The 24,320-nt window shown below is 38.4% G+C and overlaps 1 protein-coding gene across 20 annotated transcripts in view; it reads left to right on the top strand.

The window, feature by feature from the left end:
* PLCH1 (phospholipase C eta 1) overlaps window positions 1-24,320 on the top strand; it is a 294,138-nt gene that overhangs the window by 148,110 nt on the left and 121,708 nt on the right. For 19 of the 20 annotated variants that reach the window (XM_017005927.2, XM_047447747.1, XM_047447746.1 and 16 more), the window contains 4 exons: window positions 584-730; window positions 2,778-3,021; window positions 10,768-10,897; window positions 13,320-13,490. In XM_017005927.2, coding sequence (XP_016861416.1) covers window positions 584-730; window positions 2,778-3,021; window positions 10,768-10,897; window positions 13,320-13,490 — 692 coding nt within the window. Of the gene's footprint in view, window positions 1-223; window positions 492-583; window positions 731-2,777; window positions 3,022-10,767; window positions 10,898-13,319; window positions 13,491-24,320 lie in introns of those variants that run through there. The other variant, XM_017005926.1, reaches the window with a different exon arrangement.

Here is a 24,320-nt window from a genome sequence, read left to right as displayed (position 1 = left end):
GCAGTTTAATGCATCAGCAAGTGTTTTATGTTCAACTGTGAAAACTTGATTTTTTTCTGATTACATTTACAGAAATTTATTTAGCTATTTTCAAACATCACAAATATGTAACATGAATTCATATGTAATCATTATCCCATTTTAACAACAGTCAGCATTTTGCCAATCTTGTTTCTGTTGATTGCATTTAAAGCATTATTATAAGATACTTTTATAATTGGTTCTATAAAAACTCACAAGACTTATCATGTCTGAGAACTTACTTTAAGAACATAAATCCAAGTATCAAATGGTCTTAAGTCTCATACCAAAAAACAGAACAGAAGATAGCCCTATGAAGTATTGCATTATTTACCTGGAAGTAGATTTTTTTTTTTTTTTTTCTGTTAGTAAGGCTTTTTACTGACTTAAGCCTGTTGAATCAATTCCTTAACAACTCACTTTTCAGATTACCTCTACCAAATTTGTTCTGGTCCTTGGAGTCTTTGCAGGTGAATCAGAGGTTTTATTTGACTCTAAAACCTGGACACCAGTATGCCTGTGCATTGTGTGATAGCTGGATACACTCTAATTTCTTTTGCAGTTGAAAGATGCATGAGTGTGATGCAGTCCGGGACACAGATGATCAAGCTGAAACGTGGAACCAAAGGGCTTGTCCGCCTCTTTTACCTGGATGAGCACCGGACACGCCTCCGATGGCGACCCTCTAGGAAGAGTGAGAAGGCAAAAAGTAAAACAAATCTTTGAATTCTTTGCTTGGCTGGACATAGTAACACACGGGTTATACTGAGTGGGCTCTTGAAGCTTCAGATCTGTGGAAGTTTTATACTTTTATAAGTTTGGAGATAGTTGATTTTGGATATTGAGAGGCAGAATAATGACCATCTTTGGGGAATTTAAATCCATAAAAGTTTTCTTGTCCATGAATGCTGTAAATGCTAATACTTCCCCTGTGTTGGAGACATGATATATATATATATATATTTAGTTGGAATATATGGTTTTACAGCCTGAGATGTTTTACATTCCTATAAAAGGTGAGGGACATTATAAAGCTAATGGGCTTTAAAATGTATTGTCATATTCTGAACACTATTAAGTGATTAATGAATTAACAACACCATTTAAATTTATCAAGTAAAGTCATTTTGATGTGACTCCTACTTAAAGCTTCTTTCCCTCACACTATATTAGTCAGCTTTCCCTAGAGAAACACAATCAATAGGATAGATAGATAGATAGATAGATACATAGATGTATGAGAGAGGACTTAGTAGAATTGGCTCATGTGATTATGAAGGCCAAGAAGTCACATGATAGGTCATCTGCAAGCTGGAGAACCAGGGAAGCTGTTGGTGTAGCTCAGTTTGAGTCCAAAGGCCTGAGAAGCAGGGGAGATGATGGTATAATTCCAAGTCCAAGGTTGAAGGCCTGAGAACCTGGGGGCCACTGATGCAAGTCCCAGAGTACAAAGGTGGCAGAACCTTGGGCTGAGCATAGGCTCATTTCCCTGTGAGTCATGTGGGAAATGAGTTGATACCAGAAGAAAATTGGGACCCTGCCATTAAGGCAGAAGTGAGGGGTAGATGGTGTATATAAATAATCAATAGGATATACAAACTTCTGATTCCTACTGAAAAATAAACAAGCACACAGACCAAAAATAATTTATTAGTCTGAAATTATCCTTCTTGCCCTGTGCTTCAGTGATCCAAACCTTCATATTTGCTCTGCTAACTAAATAATGCTAATCTCTGTGATTCCAGCCACTCCACAATCTAGCCATTGTCTACCTTTCCAGTTTTATCTCCCATTATTCTCCCTGTTGAGCTTTCCAATCCACCATAAGCGGCCTGCTCAGCATCCCTGGAATGGGCCTTATCTTTCTATATCTGTTTCTGCCTCTCCTCAGGTGTCAGCTTGTTCCTCTCCACTTCTCCAAGCTCTGCTCTGCCTTCACCACCTTAGCCCTATGGCATTTTCTCTAGGAATGCCAGTTCCATGTAGCTCAGCTATTTGATTGTCAGAAATTCTTTTTCCTTTCAGTTTTCTAACGATCTTCTTATGCATGTTGCAAAACACCAAAGTCCACTCTAGGTCTTTGCATATTTTCTACAAATATGTAAACTACAAATTTGACATAGTCATTGCCACCTTTTCTACCAGTCTTTTTGCTTCAATTGACATATCTATTTTTTTTTTACTACAAATTTCAACACGTCCTGAATTATTGCCTTAGGAGAATGTTGTCAAGACAGCTCAGGCAGCACAAGTGTTATGCAGAGAAGGTTTCTAGTGGGAAAAAACAGGGCCTGGGTTTCACATTTAACCTGAAACCACAACTTGCAGGCAGTGAATTTTTTCATACTTACTTATTTATTTTTTTTTGGAGATGGAATCTTGCTCTGTCACCCAGGCTGTTGTGCAGTGGCACGATCTTGGCTCACTGCAACCTCCGCCTCCCAGGTTCGAGCAATTCTCCTGCCTCAGCCTCCTGAGTAGCTAGGACTACAGGCACCCGCCACCGTGCCCGGCCAATTTTTTTTTTATTTTAGCAGAGACGGGGTTTCACCATGTTGCCCAGGCTGGTCTCGAACTCCTGAGCTCAGGCAATCTGTCCACCTCGACCTCCCAAACTGCTAGGATTACAAGCGTGAGCACCCAGCCTCATACTTATTTTTAATATTTAAAATGATTTTGCTTTTCTTGTTTCTTAGTGCATGTAAAGAAGTATCTTTGCCTGCTGTATAACTGTGTGTATCTCATTTTCCTCACAGTACTTATTGATTCCATTTACAAAGTGACTGAGGGCCGGCAGTCTGAAATATTCCACAGACAAGCTGAGGGGAACTTCGACCCCAGCTGCTGCTTCACCATCTACCATGGCAACCACATGGAGTCCCTGGACCTCATCACCTCCAACCCCGAGGAGGCCCGCACCTGGATCACAGGCCTCAAGTACCTGATGGCTGGCATCAGTGATGAAGACTCCCTTGCCAAAAGGCAGAGGACCCATGACCAATATCCTTTCTAGAACTTTATTTTCAGCTCTCTCTTGCTCTCTGTGTATGCGTGTGTGCATTTGTGAAGTAAGGATTAGACTATGTTTTAATTTTTCCCATAATTTTCCTTTCTCTTTCTTTACCCCTCACACCGTCTTCTCCCCTCCTGACTCTCACTCCAAATAAATGAACGCATGAAATGTATGGACACTTAAGCTTGTATGAACTCAGGAGCAAAATTCTTTAAAGAGACCGAATCTAGCTCCACAATCAGAGGTCTCCAAATACAGCCTCAAGTTTCCTAAGAGAGGGAAAGTGCCCATTAAGTATCATTGCCTCTTTTAAATCATAGGCATATTCATTAACTGTAACTGGGAAAACACTGATTTGGATTAGAGAAAATCCTACTTTGTTATAAAGTCAGTTTAGTTTAACAAATACTTTGTGAGTTGCGATTAGATACTGGGCACTGAGCTCCTTCCTGCTTTTTCTCTTTCTAACTTACAGTTTGGAAATTGAACTGATTGATACCAAAGGGGAAGTTATTTTTTACTTACTAATATTTACCCTCTCTTAATTGCTTGAGAAACTGGAATCTAAGTCTCATTCTTGATTAAACCCATGCTTGTGGTCCTGCAGTGCTGACAAGATAAATGATTAATGGAGTTGGTCTGCAGGCATCCTTCTTGCTGGGATTGACTGGGCATATAGCAAGGCCTTTCTGGCCTCAGTTTCCTTATCTGTAAAGTGAGGGTATAAGGCTAGTTGACTCCCTTGATTCCCTTCTTCACCTTTTGAATGGCCTTAAAATACAGGTGTCTCTGTCCTTGCAGGGAGTAGCGCTACTCCCTTGCCGTCATTAGAATGTGTGCCCTAATTTTTTTCGCAGGGGTTGGTGATATATTTGTGCTGCTCTGGCTATAATCCTTCACCCAGAGTATTGCTGGAAAAGAATGGAAATAATTCAGCTCATGAAAGGATCTTGACAGTGTGAAAAGTCTGAGTTGATGAGCCATGAGGTTTTCATCAATATTCACAGCATGCAGATAAAGGCAACTGGGATTTAGAAATGAACAAAACACAAACAGGATTTAACTTTCTGTGCTTAAATCTGTTGGTTTGATTTCTAACTCTTTAACATTTGGTAAACAACAACCAACCAAAAATACTGAATGTTTTCTGGTACAAGTATCAGAAACCGTACTAACAGTGCCTTAAACAATAAAGAATATTAATTTTCTCATAAACAAGAGACCTGAGATGGGGCAGTTCCAGGGGCAGCTACTTCACTGGTTCAGTGATGTCATCAGAGACCCAGGTCCTGCCATTCTCACCGTGTTGGCTTCGTCTTGCAGCCGACTGCCCTTTGGTCAGAGAGAACTGCTGCAGCTTTAGGCAGTATCTCTAAACACAGCCCTAAACAGAGGTAGTAGAGTTTCTTCTCACAATTTTTTTTTTTTTTTTGGAGATGGAGTCTTGCTCTGTCGTCCAGGCTGGAGTGCAGTGGCACAATCTCGGCTCACTGCAACCTCTGCCTCCTGGGTTCAAGCAATTCTCCTGCCTCAGCCTCCTGAGTAGCTGGGATTACAGGTGCCTGCCACCATGCCCCGCTAATTTTTTTTTTTTTTTTTTGTATTTTTAGTAGAGCAGCATTTCACCCTGTTAGCCAGGATGGTCTTGATCTCCTGACCTCGTGATCTGCTCACCTCAGCCTCCCAAAGTGCTGGGATTACAGGCGTAAGCCACCAGGCTTGGCCACGAATCTTTTTTTTTTTTTTTTTTTTTAAAAGAGAAAAGAAAAACTTCCCAGAAATCCCCCAAAAGACAACTTCTCATCATTTCCCAAAATTACTATTGCTGCCTCATTCCTAAACCAATCTCTTGCAGGAGAAATTAACTGACATAATTAAACTTTGATCTCTCTCTTTTTTTCACTCTTAAAAACTGAAGACTTAGGCTGGGTGCATGGCTCCTGGCTGGAATCACAGCACTTTAGGAGGCTGAGGGGGAAGGATCACTTGAGGCCAGGAGTTTGAGACCAGTCTCGGCAAAATAGTGAGACCCCATCTTTACAAACAATTAAAAAGATTAGCCAGGTGTGGTGACACATGCCTGTAGTGCCGGCTACTCAGGTGGCTGAGGTGGGAAGATTGCCTAAGCCCAGGAGTTGGAGGCAGCGGTGAGCTACCAAGACCCTGTCTCAAAAACAAAAAACTAACAAAAAAACCCTGAAGATTCTAAAGAGCTTTTGTTTATGTGGGACCTATTTATTGATACTTGTCATATTAGAGATTAAATGTGAGACATAAAAATGTGTTTATTTATAATAATAATAAACTCTGTTGCATGTTAATATTTTTATAACAAGTATTTTTTCAAAGCAAAACACGTTAGAAAAACAGTATTGCTTCACTGTTTTACAAATCTCTTTAATGTCTGGCAATAGAACACATGGGTTCTCTTATCTGCTTCTGCATTCAGTCTGTTGCGATACGTTGTTTTGATTGAAGTACACGAAGAAAATCTGGCCTCACACAGACATGTAGTTGGAAAAGGGGGGAACCTCATGTTTATGGGGACCTCCAGGACTATACTTTGAGGACAGTTGCATCAAACCAAGATTTACACCCCCGCCCCCATCCAGTTCCCACTCATCATTAAAGTACATGGCTTTTGGGTACCTGAACAAAATCAAGGTTGTGTAGCAAAGAAGGAAGAGCAGTGGCCATGGGGAAGCAACCAAATCCAGAAGCTTCTAGCCTCATCCAGTTAACTAGGACAAGTTCACAGCATTCCATAGCTGCAAGTCACTTATAGAAGTCTCTCTCATAATCCTTGAAAGAGATGAGTTAGAGATGGGCATAAATCATCTTTTTGCTTTGTTGGTTAAAAGTTTTCGAACCTGATTGTCCACGTTTACTGGCACTTGAAAGTTTTCATAGTCTATGGGATCCGTATTCTGAAAATATACTGTCCAGAAAGCAGGTGTACTGTGGCACTACACAGAGAAACAATTTTATAAGAAATATAGAAGCAGTTGATTTTTGTGTCAGTGAAGGAATAAAAGAGAAATAATAAATTGATGAATAGTAAAGAGAAAGCTGAAGTGAAAAATGAGAAAGGTTATTTTGAGTCAGGGAATCATTTTCATACATATTTGTCAGAATTTAATAGGGTTTTAGATAATTTTGTTTGTTTGTTTGTTTGTTTGAGGCGGAGTCTCGCTCTGTCACCCAGGCTGGAGTGCAGTGGTGTGATCTTGGCTCACTGCAAGCTCCGCCTCCTGGGTTCACGCCATTCTCCTGCCTCAGGCTCCTGAGTAGCTGGGACTACAGGTGCCCGCCACCACGCCAGGCTAATTTTTTGTATTTTTTTTTTTTTTGAGATGGAGTCTGGCTCTGTCGCCCAGGCTGGAGTGCAGTGGCAGGATCTCGGCTCACTGCAAGCTCCACCTCATCTGTTTACGCCATTCTCCTGCCTCAGCCTCCCGAGTAGCTGGGACTACAGGCGCCCGCCACCACGCCCGGCTAATTTTTTGTATTTTTAGTAGAGACGGGGTTTCACCGTGTTAGCTAGGATGGTCTCTATCTCCTGACCTCGTGATCCTCCCACCTCGGCCTCCCAAAGTGCTGGGATTACAGGCGTGAGCCACCGCACCTGGCCTAGATAGTATCTTAATAATGGGATCACATCCTTAATTTGATAAACATGTAACTACATTAATGAAGAGAACAGATTTGGGATGTTCATTATTAGATTTCACTTAGGACTGAAAATTTCAACTGTGAATGAAAAATGAGAATAATGAAATTAAATGGCTGCATGAGAAAATCCATCCAGTCTAGAGCGTAACTTATTTCTGCAGTATGGCCATGCTGAGTGATGGCCATGATGCAGTACTCATACTTACTAGAAGAAATCCAGTGTCATTAGGGATCAGACCCTGGTGCTGCACTGCCTGCGGTCCAGCCCCCACTCTGCCTGTGCTATGCAAATTTGGATGAATTACTTATGTTCTTTTGCCTTCAAGTCTTTTATCTGCAACATGGTGATGATGATAATGACAGTGTCTGCCATATAGAGGTGTGTTAAGATCAGTTGATTATATATAGTCCTTAGAACACTGCCTAGCACTTAATAAGCAGTTTACAAGTAATAGGTACTGCTGTCATTGCTAAAAAGAGGTAAAGAGTGGCAAATCTTTAGCTTTCCTATTCAGATAAATGAAAGTCTGAATACTCAGCAGATCTGTATGCAAAGATGATGGTTCTGGCACTTAGGCTCAGCATTTTTCTCTATCAGACCATTCTCCTTCATGTTTTCCCCACCTTATCTCTTGACCCCATGAGGGAAATTATTACTTCCAGAAGGCTTTAGGCCACCTGTTATGTATGTTATAAATCCAGACCTTATTCTTCCCCCGTCAAACTGCTGGGCAAATCTGGCCCACTCCCAATCCAGGAGGATTTTTGCGTGGACTCCTGAGCTAAGAATGGGTTTTAAATGGTTAAAAAAAATCAAAAGAAAAACATTTTGTGACCTGTGAAAATTACTTGAAATTAGAATTTCAGGGTTCTGAAATTTTAATAAAGGTTTTATTGGAATTTCTGAAATTCCAATAAAGGTTTATTGGAACACAACCGTGTTCATTCATTTATATCTGTATGGCTGCTTTCTCATAACAGTGACAGAGTGGAATAGTTGCAGCTGAGAGCAAATGTCCTGCAAAACTTAAAATATTCACTATCAGGCCCTTTACAGAAAAGTTTGCCCTCCCCTGTGCTAGATAGGATCATTCAATGCTTTGCATGCTCCTACAGTCTCTTGATAGAAAATCCTAGATCATTACTTCACATTCAGTCTCACCCAGATTTTCTCTGAGGAATGACTGTTTCTCTTTTTAAAATTATTATGGTGTGGCTATAAATTATTAATTCAGGGCTTTATTGGACACTCATATCTTAATTATGAAGAACATCTTTAAGATATCAGGACATTTTTACCTGGAGTTGTATACTATGTGGACCGTTACTGGAAAGAATGGTTTTTTCATTTATGGAATCTTAGAGTTGGAAGGGATTTCAAGGTTAAAAGTTGTGCTCCTTGATATTGTAGGTGAAGAAATGGAGGCTCCAGGAGGTGATATGAGTAACCCACTGTCACAAGGCCAAGTAAGCAGTAGAATTAGGACTACTGTACATTTCTTGGTTTGATTCTGCCTCTGTTTTTACTTTACCAGTTCCCTAAACCAATAATCAAGGCCGATTTCCGTGTTGGTGCTAAAGGCTTTGCAGACAGACACAGGCTTATCCTAAATGTTTGTATCTGCAGAATACACACATGCTTAGGGTTTGGCTGTCCCTGCCTCTTCTCTGGAGAAGACTTTGAGAGGCTTCGATAAAGAATTATATTTGATAAAGAATTATAGAGTAAAAGGATAAAAATATTACTGCCGTCAGACTCCTTTTGTCACTTCTTTGAACTCCAGCCATGTACTTTGTGGGGCATAGAGTAGTGTCCATAGTTGAAAGCCCGAAGTGGGTGCTGCGTGCCTTGAAAACAGAAGAAAATGAGACTCAGGCACTTATTAGTGATTGGGCCAAATGTTTCACCCTTTTGGTTCTTCGGTTACTTTCCCCCCAGATCTGGACCTCCCTTAACTTCCAGGGGTCATATAAAATGAGGTCCTGACAAGTCTATAAGGAAAAATTGAACTAGAAAGAGCTGGGCTAGTTATTTTAAAAGTTTTAAAGGGAAAAAATATGAAATAAGGTATTTACAAAATATGAAGTAAGGCGATCTGAAAATATCCTCTACTTAATTTTAGAAGACATAATACCTTACCTTTCTAGTTGTTTTTACTTTCTGAGGTATAATCTTCTACAGTCATAATTTGAATCGCATAGAAATGGAAATATGCTGTACCCTCTCCTCTGATATACATTCATTCTCCCATTTCTTGGTTTTTAAAACTATACCTTTAGCTTACTTTGATTCTCTGGTTTCTTTCTATCTATCACCTTATTCTTTTCCTCTCCATTACCCTTCAATATTGAAGTTTAATTGGTTTTCTAAATATGCACGCAGTACTTGCCTTTTGTAACCTACCCCTCAACAACTATGAATCATCCATTTGAAAAAATCCTTTGCTAAAAGTTAACTGGGAATTTTCAATTCCTGTGTTACCATTTCATCTGCATTCTCACTATGTAAAGCAACCCAAGGCTCCTCCCACTGAGGATCTTTTAAAATTTCAGTTCACATGATGTAAACCTTTTGTATCTAAACTCAGCTTCTAATTCTCAGTCACTTAATCTCATACCTGAGCTTTGAGGGCACCTCCTAGCACATTATGTTTGTACTTCACATTACCTGCCCGTGATTTAGAAATTTGGGCCAATTAAGTGAGAACCATCAAAGCCAGTAATAGGAAGAGAAGCGTGGTGTAGAGACAGACCTTATGTGTAGAAGAGTGTGCTAAATCAGGTACAAAAGACCTGGGTTGAGACCTGGTTCTCATACTAATTTTTATCAGATTTCTCTCTCTCCTCTCATTTTATGTCCTTATCTGAACAATGATGAGATTGAACTAGATGGTCTAATTTGCTAAATGTCTGAGTGGGACAGAGAAAAGAGAATTGAAAAGATCATGTACCATGGGGTATTGTGAAGGTAAAAAGATAGTAGGTAAAAGGGCATAGGAGAAGATAAGCCCTATATTTATGATATTTGGGGTTTCATCATAAAGAGATTCTTAAACAGAAAGTGTCAGAGAGATGTAATACTGGGCCATTCCTGCTACATGCCATCTGTATGCCTCATAAACGAAGAACTCTAACCTTGTGAATGAGAACTAATAGGGACACAAGATTTGTGTTATGAACATGGCAGCATAACTGAGAAAAACTGGTCAGAAAATGAAAAGCAAAAAGGGATAACGTTTAAAGTCATATAGAAATATTTATGTTTATGGAGTTTGCTATTGGAGGTGTGAATTAAGGTGTCATTTTCTTGCTAGAGTGAAATTAGAACCAGTAATGTAGCTTTTAGTATCCATGAGGTTTTAGTATCCATGAGGATTAGGAGGGTAATTCACTCCTTCCATTTAGGATAGTGATATAGTGTTTTGCAATAATAGATTTGATATTTAATTTGGATAAGATTGAATAAGAATGTCTGAATTAAAGATGCTCAAAATAATTTGGTTTAACTCTCATTTCGCAATGGAGGGAACCACCCCCCGCCCCTTTTTTTTCTTTTGAGACAGAGTTTCATTCTTGTCACCCAGGCTGGAGAGCAATCTTGGCTCACTGCAACCTCCACCTCCCGGGTTCAAGCAGTTCTCCTGCCTCAGCCTCACAAGTTGCTGGGATTACAGGCGCCTGCCACCATGCCTAGCTAATTTTTGTATTTTTAGTAGAGACAGGGTTTCACCATGTTGGCCAGGCTGGTCTCAAACTCCTGACCTCAGGTGATCCACCTGCCTCAGCCTCACAAAGTGTTGAGATTATAGGCATGAGCCACTGCACCCAGCCGGGAACCCCCTTACCCCCTTTATGTGTTTCCCTTCCATTCCTGGTTTGTTGTTGTCATTGTTATTGTCATCATTATTAGTAGCTCATCAGAGCCTATGGATTGCAGGGGCTCCTCAAAATAATTTCTTCTCAAGTTCTGTGTTACTGATAAATGTCTTTGCGAGTATTCTGTGAGAGAGCAGTTTTTAATTTTGATGAGAGCACAGGTGTTTTCTTTGACCTTTCTGCACATGGGTGAAGCAGACCTTTGAGGAAGCTGATAAGAATGGTGACGGCTTGCTGAATATTGAAGAGATACATCAGCTGATGCATAAACTGAATGTTAATCTGCCCCGAAGAAAAGTCAGACAAATGTTTCAGGTAAGTTTTCACAATTTCACTGGCCTTATATAAAATACACAGAGGTTATTAACATACTTAGGTATATTAAAAAGCTATTTTGTTTTGTTGGAAGCTAATATATGTGCTCTGTACTGTTTTATTTTTCTTTGATGAAGAAATGATTTTGTTTCAAGTAAAAAGACTTTATAAATTTAACATTCGTCCAAAATTTCACTTCCTAAAACGCTTTTTTGTTATCGTTGCTGTTTTCCTGACAAATAATGGAGGAAACTTGCTCCAGTCCCTTTGAGAGGACAGTAATACCTCATTTGCCTACTTCGCAGGGCTCTTGTGAGGATCAGAATAAAGACTAAGTAACATGACAAAAAATAGCCCTTGTCTAAAACCTCAAGAGCTCTGTATTTTGTTTCTGAGGAGTTCAGGATTTAGTATCCATGAGGATTAGGAGGGCAATTCACTCCTGCCATTTAGGGAGCTCTCCAGAATTTCATTCAACTCCTTGTTGGTTAGATGAAAGGCTCTTTCCCTGTTGATGAGTCATTGAGAAAAATTCTTGGGCCCAGACTTATTCTGTGGCATCCAGCTAGGACTGCATTTAATCCTTACCTGAGTACCGAAGTGAGCTCTCTTAAGTTTAAGTCAGGGCAAAGACAATGTTAGGCTATTAGAAATTACTAGAGTATTAATTTGTAACAGGCTATTATTTGAAGATAAGTTGCGTGCATAATCCATGTTTTGCAATGATTTTCTAGGTGATACTTTGTACATGTAAAAATAAGCATAGGAGGGCAATATGATGTTTAATGTTTGTACTTGTTCTTAGAGGTGGTAAGAGCAGAGACAACATGGGGTATGTGTTGCAACAATAAATGGAAGACAGAGGCTGGCTCTGTTCTGTGACCCTTTTAAGGGTGGCCCTGTTCTTGGTTGGAGATGGTTTGCATTGTGGGAAACTGAGTCCCATTGCACTGGAGAACAGCATGAGAGAATGGGAAGAGGAGGAAGGAATGAGATTTGCTGTATAGGGAACCTGAGAGATGGAGTGAGGGACTTTGGAGGGCAAATGAATTATCTTTAAACATATGGGAAGGTTTGCCATGTTTCTGGTATTCCGTGTCATCTCACTTTTGCCCTGCTGTGAGCCCCACCTCCTGTCTGTTCATTTGCACAGGAGCTGATCACAGCATTGAAGAGGTAGCTGCTGATTCAATGTAAGAGGCCAATCCTAAAGGGGGGGGACAAAGTCTGTACCTATACAAATCATGATTTCTTGGGTAATTATTGAAAGTAAAATTTGGAAGCATTTGTTCATAATTGACCCAAAGTTAGCAAAATTTTAAAAAGATTTTAATGACCACTTTGACTTTCAAAGCTTTGTTTAATACCATATAACAGTTGAGTGTACTTCACAAATTCTATGCATTTCAAAATGCCGTTCATTCCCTGTCTGTTTTTGTTTACTTAGAATTGTGTTCACTTAGAATGAAGAAGAGCACATAAGTGGGTCAGTTGCTTATTATTTATCCCCAATAGTTTTATGGTTTTATGAATAATTCAGCCAACCTGTAAGTAAGGCATATGATGGAAGCTTCATGCTCAATAATTACTAGAAACAATTTTAACAAGAAATCAATCCAGATGGATTGTTTAGACTTTTCTACGGAGGGAAAGCAGGGAGTTACCAAGGATGCCCATGGCTTTAAGAGCATCAACTCTATCTTTGGAGAATTAAGAGAGATTCTCTCATAGGTAAAAATTACATTTGATTGGATTACAGTTCAGAAACCAATGAGAGACTGTTATTTTTCTCAAGTGTTAAATATATCTTCTTTCTTTTGTTCTTGATTAGTCTTTTTCAAGATTTCTCATTTTTATTGGTTCTTTAGAAATCGGGCTTTGGTTTTCTTTCTCACGTGTATGTTACAGCTGTTTGTTTTCTATTTTATTACTTTTTGCTTTTGTTTATAATTTATTTTCCTCGCTTAATTTTGTTTCACATTTTTTGAGTTGAATTATTAACTTCTTTTTAAAATCTTTGCTCTCTAGTAATTTAAGACTTCAAGTTTCTAATGTTATTTTATAAGTTTTAATATGTAGTGTATTTTTCACTTCCATATGTTTTATTTCCTATCTAGAATTGTATTGTTTCTACAGGTTTTTTTTTTTTTAAGGTTTCTTTGTTGATTTATAAATTTACAGTGGTCAGAACAATTGGTTTGTGTGAGGTTGATTCCTTATAATTTGTTGAAACTTTCTGGCCAAATATGTGGTTGCTTTATAATGTTCCATGTGTGCTTGAAGAGAATGTGTGCTCGAAGAGAATGTGTGCTCACCTCTTGGGATTTGTGTACTAGCTCTTTTATAGTAAATATTATTTCCCAGTACTGAATTTCCTATTTCTAACTTTCATATTACTTTATTTTCTCTATGCCCTTTTCAGGAAGCCGACACAGATGAGAATCAGGGAACTTTGACATTTGAAGAGTTCTGTGTTTTTTACAAAATGATGTCTTTGAGACGAGACCTTTATTTGTTACTTTTGAGCTACAGTGACAAGAAAGATCACCTAACTGTGGAAGAACTGGCTCAGTTTTTGAAGGTGGAGCAAAAGGTATCATTAGACTGTTAAAATGAAAGTTTACTTAAAAGTACTCATGAAAGATATGTCTTTCTTTTGGGGTTAAATATAGGTATACTTTGAATTTTGCAAAGGTGGTAAATATCACTAGTTCACAAAAATCTTATCTATGAGTCATTTAAAACAGTTTCTAGCAGCTTTTAAGACAGGAAGTGATAACTTGAACACTGGGTTATATAATTCTTAATCTTAAATGTATTGAGTACAGATATGCCTATTTTCCCACAAAGAAATGAATGTTAATATTTTAATACAATGGTAATACTTTCTTTATACTAATACTATGATGTATTAATATTAGTTTAAATTTATACTATATATTAGTATAAATTCATATTAGTATAAATTTAGTCAAATTTATTTATTTTAAATATAAATTTATATTTATACTAATAAAATAGCTAGATATTTAACTATGGCATAATTCTTAACTACTATTGTGGTAGGTCATTGGTAATTCTGATAGTAAATTGCCATTTGATCATGTGAAAAGGCTAAGTAAATTAGGTCCTGATTAGCAAAGAGAATCTCTAAGTATGTTTAAAATAAGGTGTTTTAATCTTAATATTATATAGGCTGAATTATGGTCAGCAAAGCTAACTTCTCAGTCTGCTTTTTAAATATCTCCTCAAAGTCTGTTTCTCACTAAAGTAGAGGAATAAATGAATGTTTTATTCAAATTTTTTAACCTTTTATATTAGACTTCTTGAGAGGAGGCTTTGGTTTTGTGCAGTTGATGAGGTTTACTTTTAATTCTCTTAATGGACCAATCGTCTTAATATAAAGAGCTGCTTAACTCCTTTGTTCATTTTAAGTCAGCGGCATTTAGCTCTGTTGAAATTGTAAAAAATCATCAAATATTTGGACTATATAGTACAATAATCAGTAGAAATAATTCTTTCTACAGTACTCACACAAATAATCAGCCAGCTTGTGCTTGAACACTTTCCAATTTTTTAATAAAGGCTTTATTGAGATATTATTCACATACCATAAAATTCACCATTTTTAAAGTATACATTTAAGTGTTTTTTAGTGTATCAACAGAGTTGTGCAACTATTGGCCAGGCACGGTGTCTCATGCCTGTAATCCCAGCACTTTGGGAGGCTGAGGCGGGTGGATCACCTGAGGTCAGGAGTTTGAGACAAGCCTAGCCAACATGGCGAAACCCAGTCTCTACTAAAAATACAAAAATTAGCTGGCTGTGGTGGCGAACCCCTGTAATCTCAGCTACTTGGGAGTCTGAGGCAGGGAGAATTGCTTGAACCCAGGAGGTGGAGGTTGTAGTGAGCTGAGATTGAGCCCCTGCACTCCAGCCTGGGCGGCAGAGCGAGACTCCACCTCAAAAAAAAAAAAAAAAAAAAAAAAGAAAGAAAAGAAAAAGAAAAAAAAAAAGGGCTGGGCACGGTGGCTTACACCTGTAATCCCAGCACTTTGGGAGACTGAGGCGGGCAGATCACCTGTGGTCGGGAGTTCTGACCAGCCTGACCAACATGGAGAAACCCGGTCTCTACTAAAAATACAAAATTAGCCAGGTGTGGTGGCACATGCCTATAATCCCAGCTATTCGGGAGGCTGAGACGGGAGAATGCTTGAACGAACCCAAGAGGCGGAGGTTGTGGTGAGCCGAGATAGCGTCATTGCACTGCAGCCTGTGTGACAAAAGTGAAACTCCGTCTCAAAAAAAAAAAAAAGGAAAAAAGAGTTGTGCAACTATAACCACTATCTAATTTCAGAACATTTTCGGCACCCCAAGAAGAAACCCCAAACCTATTAGCAATTATTCTCCATTTCTCTCTTCCAAGCATGCTGTGGCAACTAATATTTCTGTCTCTATTGATTTGTCTGTTATCTGTTCTGGACATTTCATATAAAGGGAATCATATATGTGACCTTTGTGACTGGCTTCTTTCATTTGGCGTAATGTTTTCAAGATTCATTCATGTTGTAGCATTATCAGTATTTCATTTCTTCTTATTGCCAAATAATATATCGTTGTATGACTATACCACATTTTGTTTATATATTCATCAGTTGATGGAAATTTGGGTCATTTGCTTTTTGGGGGCTGTTACGAATAACGCTGCTGTGAACATTCATGTACAGGTTTTTGTGTGGACATACGTTGTCAAGTCTGTTGAATATATATCTGAGTGGAAAAGTTGGGTCACCTAATTTGATCCCTTCTTTCAGTCTGGATCTGGATATTGCAAGGACTTTATGTGAACCAGGATAAAATTCTACCACAGAACCCCAGTGAATTAAACATTGGATTAATATCTGAATATCAGAGAGATAAATTTCCACTAGCTCTTAAGAAGTATAGCTGACCAAAGATGTGCTGGATGACTTTGACAATTGTGTTTTCTTCCTTGAAGGTGTTAACAAGGATTTGAGACGCTATTAATGAGATTGAAATATGGGTGGGTGCTTGGATTAGTAACATTTCAGATTAATTCATTTCCTTGTATGAATAGATACTATATTTCCTAGGTATTGTGCTAAGTTTTTGTAGTGGACAAAACCTACCCTCAGAAAGCTCAAAATAAAGACCTTTTTTTGATACTTTATGATTTTGAGAGTCTATGATAAAAGGAAAGAGAATGTGAAGAAGTAAAACAACATGCTTTTTAACGTTTGCTGGATTTTTCCTTTTTGAGGTAGAATAAAATTTATTACAATTATCGTGCCGTATTTTTTTTCTGGAAATGTTACTTCTTTAGAAGAAGTACCTTTGTAAAGATACTAAAAATATTAATTAGTAATACATTGTTAATATACATGAAATCATGCTCACTTAGTTTTAGTGCTAATTTGAATTAAATTGAATTTGTGAAGTGATTTTCATTTGAGAGTCAATTCTTTTAACTTTCTTTAATTTTCTCCTACATAACCTGGAAAATTATGTTACTCTTGGTGTAGTCTAAAAACTATTTGACATTCATAATTTGAGCTAGTAAATGCTGCTTATAGATTCATAAATGGCAAAAAGTCTCACTGATTCAAAATCTACCCTTATTTATATTAACATTTTATAGCATTTAAATGCCATATTTGAATTTTTTAAATGTGAGATTAATTTGGTGATCAGAGTCTTCAATGTTTTGCTTTAGCAAGAATGAAAAAAGTACAAAGTATTTGGTGAACAAAATCCATGTATATGTTTTTTCTGAATTATTTACTTATTATTGAGCCATTGGATAAAATATTTTCATGGCTTTTGAAACATATCTCCATAATGCTATATAAAAGATTTGTTTCAGTTTATAATTAACAAAACAGTGAACAAATGATTAGTTATTAAATGGATCACTTTTAGTGCTAATATGGTAGCTATAGAATGATAAGTTAATGTTGGTTTGATTAACATTTTTTGATAGCAGGGATGAATGTTTTTCCATGTTTGTTTTTGAATTGTATTTTTTGAACTTTGAAATGCTCTTTAAAATACAGAAAAATCTGTATGAATTCTGTCCTGTTTTTCTGTTGTTTATTGCCTCTGCATGTGTGTGTATGTGTCTGTGTGTGTGTGAGAGAGAGAGAGAGAGAAAGAGAGACAGACAGACAGAGACAGACACAGACAGACAGACAGAGACAGAGACTGACAGGCAGACAGACTGGTTTTCCCTCAGTAATTCCAGGTGGATATCTATTCTATTTAAATGCCACTAAAGAACCAACCACTAGCACCACACTATTAGCTTTTATTTGAGAGGTAGCAGGCAATACCCAAGTAGGAACCAGTTTTAATGCCTTTCTTGATGTCTCTTTCAAACTCCCAAAGTTAAATGCATTAAACATGTTTTCTGATAATGTGTTTCTCTTATCGTCTTCATCAGTAATGCTAATCACCTCTTTTCAAGCAGATTAACACTTCATTTGGCATGGAAGTTTTAAAAATTACTAGACTGTGTGGTGGAATAGGAGTGAGCAGGACTGGATACACAACCTTGCTTACCTTGCAACTTGATCACATTAACTTTTCATCCTTGACTTTGTGACTTATAAAATGGTTTTGATAGTAATATTGCCCTTGCAAGAGTAGAGTGAGAATTAAATGAGATGTGGATGTAACTTCCTAGTGCATTGCCTGGTTTATTAGCTGCACAGATCTAGCCATTTCCAAGGAGCAATGTGAGATTCCTAGTGGGCAAGTATCCGCACATATACTTGACTGTAAAATTCCATAGGTGAGGGGAAGTGTCTTTTCCACACCCATCGCTAGGGCATGGCAGAGGCACTTATAACAAAAGACCGATTAACAAGAGAAAAACATACAAATTTATCTAATAAGTTTTTAATAACACAGAGGAGACTTTATAAGGCACTGAAGACCCAGAGAGTTAGGCAAACCTGTGTATTTCTTATGCTAGTTTGATGAAGAGTGGACAGTCATGGAGAAATATGTTTAGAGGACAAGGTTATGATCTAATGGCAGTAAATGGGGAATTTAGTAAGGCGTGTTTGTTCACACTTTTCTTGGCACCTCTGTGTCTTTTGCTCCTTTCCTCTGGGTATTGGGAAGGTGCTGATGGTCACTTTAATGAGGGTCGTATGGTCTGCTTCAGGGGAAGCTCAGAAAATTCTTCCTAGGTTTTATGGGTGGAAGGGCTGGGGGGAAGGCCGGAGATACCTTTCCTTTTCTGCTGTTTTCCACAAATGCTAGGGTGCAATATTTTAGGATACCGTGTACTAAACTGCATCAAATCTGTACATGGTTAGAATTTTCTTCCAAATTACTTCTCTTATACCCTCCCACTCCAAGTCTGTCATAGTGTGATATAATAAAACATACATTTGGTCTTTGTTCCAGTTCCTGGCACAGAGCTCCTAAACTCTTAGAATTTCCTGAGAAGTATCTTTGATTATTTATAATGAACCCCTTTTCATCATATCTGAGTTCATGCTAATGAGGTAACTATTGTTGGGCCCCTGGATAGTTTCAGGATAGGGGCTGGTAGCCAGCAACCAACCATGTGATTAGATAACTTTCTAATACCTACTTAATATTTTACTTTACCTTAGTATCATAATCACATATGTTTTAGAAATAACAGATTCACTTTTATGAATTTTGTTGTTGCTTTCTTAAGAATTAAACAGATAGTGTTATTAGCAAAATGCTTTGTCAAAATTAGTTATTTTAAGTAGTTTGATAGTTTGGCAAAGGCAGAGATTCTTTATTAACAATGTTAGCCGTAAGACAGGTAGAAAAAGGGAATTGGGTAATAGAAATGTCTATATTTTCCCTTAGAGGATACATCCTTTCTACATCTTTACTCCTCTGTGGAGTCTGTTATATAACTACTTCTCCATCCTTACTTGCAGAACTCTCATAGTGTACTGGAAAGAACATTAGACCAGGAGTCCAAAACACCTGCATTCCACACACTGCAAGCTTTAGTGGTTGGAGAATCAATCATGATTGTTTCTGAGCCTTGGTTTCCTGATCCATGCAAAGGGAGATGATACCTGCCTTTCCTATCTCACAGTGTCAAATTGAACATTGCAATGATGAACAGGAAAGTCCTTTGCCCAAGATATTCAGAAGTGTGGCAATGTGAGGAATTAAAGTTAAAAGGTATAAACTACTGACTTCAAATTCATTCAGGCTAGTGGAATTACCCCAGTTCATTTGAATAGCAATACTGGATGTCACTTGCTAAGGGGCATGTGTTTCTTCTCTCATTTTAGTTTTGTTGACATTCTGCCAGTAAATTTTAGTTAGGGAAAACAGAAGCCAGAATTCTGTGACATTTGTTCCTGGCAGATGATTAACTGTATATAGTTTAATTTTCTAAATTAGCTTGAAGCTACTTACATATGAGCATGACTCAAAAGAAATCTATAAAATTATAAAAAAAGTGATCATACATCAAGAGGTAAAAATCACAAAGGAAAATTTTAATGTACTGAAACTTTGTTTATATGTGGTCCACTTTATTAAGCACCACAAAATTAAAGGGCAGAGTAGGAAAATATTTGTAACATACAAAAGAGAGAAATAGTGAATTTCCTTAATGTGGCAAGTACTTTCCTAGACCATTGAGGAAAAAAAAAACAATGGAAAAATGAGTAAAACACTTGAAACCTTTACAAAATCATACAAAGTCAATAAACCTATGAAAATGTTCACCCTTTATTAGTAATTCAAAAATCTGAAATAAAACCAAGTTATTTATTTTTTAGAGACAGGGTCTCTGTCACCCAGGCTGGAGTGCAGTGGGTGCGATCATGGATCGTATAAACTCCAACTCCTGAGCTCAAGCAATCTTCCTGCCTCAGCCTCCTGAGTAGTTGGGACTACAGGTGTGTATCATCACACCCAGCTAATTTTTAATAATCTGTTTTAGAGACAGGGTCTCACCATGCTATCTAGGCTAGGAGACAATTTCTTTCCCATCGTATTAGTAAAGATTAAAAAATATGCCACCAAACGTAGTGTCCATCTCTTCTATTTCTGGTGAAATTATAGAATGATACTGGAGTAGTTTTACAATCTATAACATTTAATATAATTGATAAAACTTTGGCCAAACCATTTTACTTTAATAATTCATCCTAAGAAAATAGCTCTGTATTTAAAAATTGTTGTAAAGTTGTGCATTTCAACATTCTTTAAAATAGTGTTAAGATTTATTTTATTAGATTGGACACAATCTAACTGTGTAGAAAGAGTCGTTAGTCAAGAGTTTCGTGGGGTTTTGAGTTTCAAAACTGGATTTTCACAATGGCACAAATTTGAGGCAATTTGATGATGTGTGTCACAGTAATTCATTAGCTTCTGATAACATAAGATTGGTGCAGACACCAGGATATTCAACTTTTATAGGTTTACTCAGTTGTGAAATGAAATATCACTGCTGGCCACATATGCTGTCAAGGGTTTTATGAAATCAAATATTGGCCTGTGGGTCAGATTTTTATTTTACTGAAGCTCTCAGAAGATTGAATTTATGCCTTTGACAGGTCCAATTGCTGTTTGATTAGGACTTTCATTCTTAAAACACGGCTGTGCCAAGGGAATTCTCACTATCTTTTATAACCATGAGGAAGTGCCAGTATAGCCAGAAATTACCTGGCTGAGATTTCTCTTTCTTCTCTTCCTTTCATCTACAGATAAAGGATCACAGATATCCACTAATCTGTGGTTCCGAAGTATTTACTAGAGTTGATTGAGAGTTTTTGTTTTGTTTTGTTTTGTTTTGCTTTGTTTCATTCCCCACCCACCCCAACCTCATATTTGCCAAACAACCACCTACATCTCCTCCAGAGTTCCTATCCATTTCTTGGCACTGGAGCTGAGTGTTTTTTTTGTTCCATCCTTTTTAGTGTTTTGGTTCTGGAGTGACAATTTGATTTCATTTTCCCATCCCCTTGGCAACCTTTCTTAGCAAGCCCCTATGTTCTTTATATTTTTTTGTTTCTTATGGATTGAGGAAGAAGGAAGAGAAGGCAGGAACATTGAAGCGCCTTTATATAGTTGGAAAATCCTCCTAGCCAGGCCCAGTGGTTTGCCCCTGTAATCCCAGCTACGGGGGCAGGCAGGAGGATCACTTGAGCCCTGGAGTTCAAGATCAGTCTGAACAATATAGTGAGACCCCTTCTCTTAAACAAAAATTAGTTGGGTGTGGTGGTGCTTGCCCTTAGTCCCAGCTACTTGCGGGGTGGAGGTGGGAGGACTGCTTGAGCCTGGGAGTTCCAGGCTGCAGTGAGCTATGATTGTGCCTGGGCCACAGAGCAAGACTCTGTCTCTAAAATGAAATAACTTAAAAAATTTAAAATTTTCTGCTAGCTGTTATCTAAGAGCAAAGGCTACCTTTATTGTAAGTCAAAAGTAGGTTTCTGTTTATATAAATGTTTCATCTGAAATATGCATGTGGATAGTTAATTCCAAGAGGATTTTCAGAGATTTCCTGTTTCCCTGCTACAGGGCCATCTCCTTATTGTAATCTGATATAGATCTATACATTACCCGTGTAGTAGCTCTGAAAATTGCACCTTTAGCCCCTTTATTCTTTCTGGTAAAATGTTTCTTTGATCATTCTGATCCAATTATAGGAATCATATGTGCCCTCTCCCTTCCTTACCCTTCATTGAATCCAGAATGGTTTGGTAAGAGTTATGGTCATTCTAATCATTCTAATCTTCTCTCTCATGAGAAATAATTATAGTCTCTTTTGCTTGTAACTATCCCATTCTGGTGATAATGTATCTTTATCTTTTTTGCACCTTCCTCATATAAAAGCATTCCTTTGAGGTGTTTTCCTGAATTTCTGTATCATTTTTCTTTTTATTTATTTATTTTTTTTTTAGATGGGGTCTTGCTCTGTCACACAGGCTGGAGTGCAGTGGTGCTGTCTCGGCTCACTGCAACCTCTGACTGCTGGGTTCAAGCGATTCTCCTGCCTCAGTCTCCCAAGAAGCTGGGATTGTAGGTGCCCGCCACCATACCTGGCTGATTTTTGTGTTTTTAGTAGAGATGGGGTTTCACCACGTTGGCAAGGCTGGCCTCGAACTCCTGACCTCAAGTGATCCGCCCACCTTGGCCTCCCAAAGTGCTGGGAATACAGGCATGAGCCACCATGCCTGGCTGATTTTTCTTAATTATTCACAATTAAAGCAGTTGAGAGATCACTCAGAGTAATTATATCTTGCAATATTTTTGCTGCATTGGCTATATTTCCCAGATAACATTTTCTGTGAAATCGTCTATTCAAATGCTGTGAAATGTGTGGTTTCGTTTTAGGATGAATTAGAGGTAGCTAGTTTGAGGAGGTTAATAGTTACCGTGGTTGTCTTATTCAGTTGAATATGAACTGACCATTCATTTAGAGGTGTTTCTTCACTCCCTCTTGAAATTACCCCAAAATACAGTAAAGACAATCCCCCTCTGTAAAACCACAGATACAAAGAGAACAGGAGAGGAGCAACAAAATTTTAAAACTTGTCTGATTTAAAGGAGACCCCAGAGCACTGAAATTCAATCTCATAGAGTGAGAAGCCTCGAAGCAACTCCATTTGCCCAGGGGAAGCCCCTGATAAGCTCAAAAATTGATGTTAGTTACATGATATTCCTGAAAAGAGGAAAAGAGGGGTTGAAAACAAGCATTGGTTGAAAGTCTGTTTAAGATATGGTTAGGGCTTCAGATTTTCTCCTCCAACCCTTGTAGCAGGGCAACTGTCCCTTCTCTACCCTGGCATAAAACTGTATGTAAGAGGTAAGGGGGGCTGGGTATGGTGGCTTACTCCTGTAATCCCAGTACTTTGGGAGGCCGAGGCAGGCAGATCACTTGAGGTCAGGAGTTTGAGACCAGCCTGGCCAATATGGTGAAACCCCGTCTCCACTAAAAATGCAAAAAATTATCTGGGCGTGGTGATGCATGCTTGTAGTCCCAGCTACTCGGGAGGCTGAGGCAGGAGAATCGCTTGAACCCTGGAGGTGGAGGTTGCATTTGGCTGAGATTGTGCCACTGCACTCCAGCCTGGGCAACAGAGTGAGACTCTATCTAAAAAAAAAGAGGTAAGAGGATTTGACTAAGTGATGCCACACACGGCTGAGTGTGGGTACTATATGGAAAACATGGGGATTATGAAGATGGCTATAATAACTGCCATATTCCTGTACATATGTGTCTTTGCAATGCACCTTTGCCACTCCTTCCACCAAGAATTGAATTCTATTTTCCTGCTTCTTCAATCTGTGCCAGTTTAATGACTTGCTTTGATTAATAAATTGTGGTAGGACTGATGTACAGGTTCTGGAGCCTAGGCCTCAGGGAGTCTTGAAGATTTCATCCTCACCCTGTTGGAACTGTGGGACTATCATGTGAGGAAACCAGGTGAGTTTCCTTGGGGATGAGAGACTACATAGAGAAAGAGGCCCAGCCAACAGCCAGCACCAACCACAGACATGTGGGTGAGGCCATCTTGTACCATCTGGCAAGTAACCAGATGCCTGTAGTCACATGAAGAACTCTAAATGAGAACAGCAGAATAACCATCCAACTGAACCCAGTCTGACTTGCCACCCTACACAATTGTTATCAAATAAACAGTCGTTGTTTTAAGTTTCTAGGTTATGGGGTGGTTTGTTTCACAGAAGTAGAGAATGAATGCAAGGGTTAGTGACCATCTATGCATTGAGATGTGAAAACCATAGCCCTCTTCCAATACTCAGTTCCCAGGTTATTGGTTTTAAATAACCAAGGCTTACCAATGTTTGAGGAAATCCTCTGCTATAAAGAACAGAGACTACTAAAGCAAATAAATAGAGACAATAAACTTGGAGGAAACAGAGGTAATGCAAGGAGGAGGAAACTTTAAAAATTATTGTTAATGTTATCAGAATGATTCAAATATTGTTGCCATAAAGCAAGAGCAAGATGCTATGACAGATTGGGCACAGTGGCTCTTGCTTAAAATTCCAGCACATTGGGAGGCCAAGGTGGGAAGATTGCTTGAGGCCAGGAGTTCGAGACCAGCCTGGGCAACATAGCTACACCCTGTCTCTACAAAATAAAAATAAGAATAAAAATAAAAATAAAAAAATCAGCCAGGTGCAGTGGTGTGTGGCTGTAGTCCCCACTACATGGGATGCTGAGGAAGGAGGATCACTTGATTCCAGGATTTGGAGGCTGCAGTGCGCCATGACTGTGCCACTGCACTCCAGTCTGGGTGACAGAATGAGGACCTGTCTCTTAAGAAATAAAAGGATGCCACGAGAAAAGAAGATTCAGAGAAAAAAAAAATCTCTTGGAAATTAAAAGCATGAGAAGAACAAACAAAAAAGAAATAGAAAA

The sequence above is a fragment of the Homo sapiens genome, chromosome 3 (genome assembly GCF_000001405.40).
Source record: "Homo sapiens chromosome 3, GRCh38.p14 Primary Assembly".
Lineage (NCBI taxonomy): Eukaryota > Metazoa > Chordata > Mammalia > Primates > Hominidae > Homo > Homo sapiens.
The sequence above is the reverse complement of the archived record's forward strand: the minus strand, read 5'-3'. Positions and strand labels throughout refer to the sequence as shown.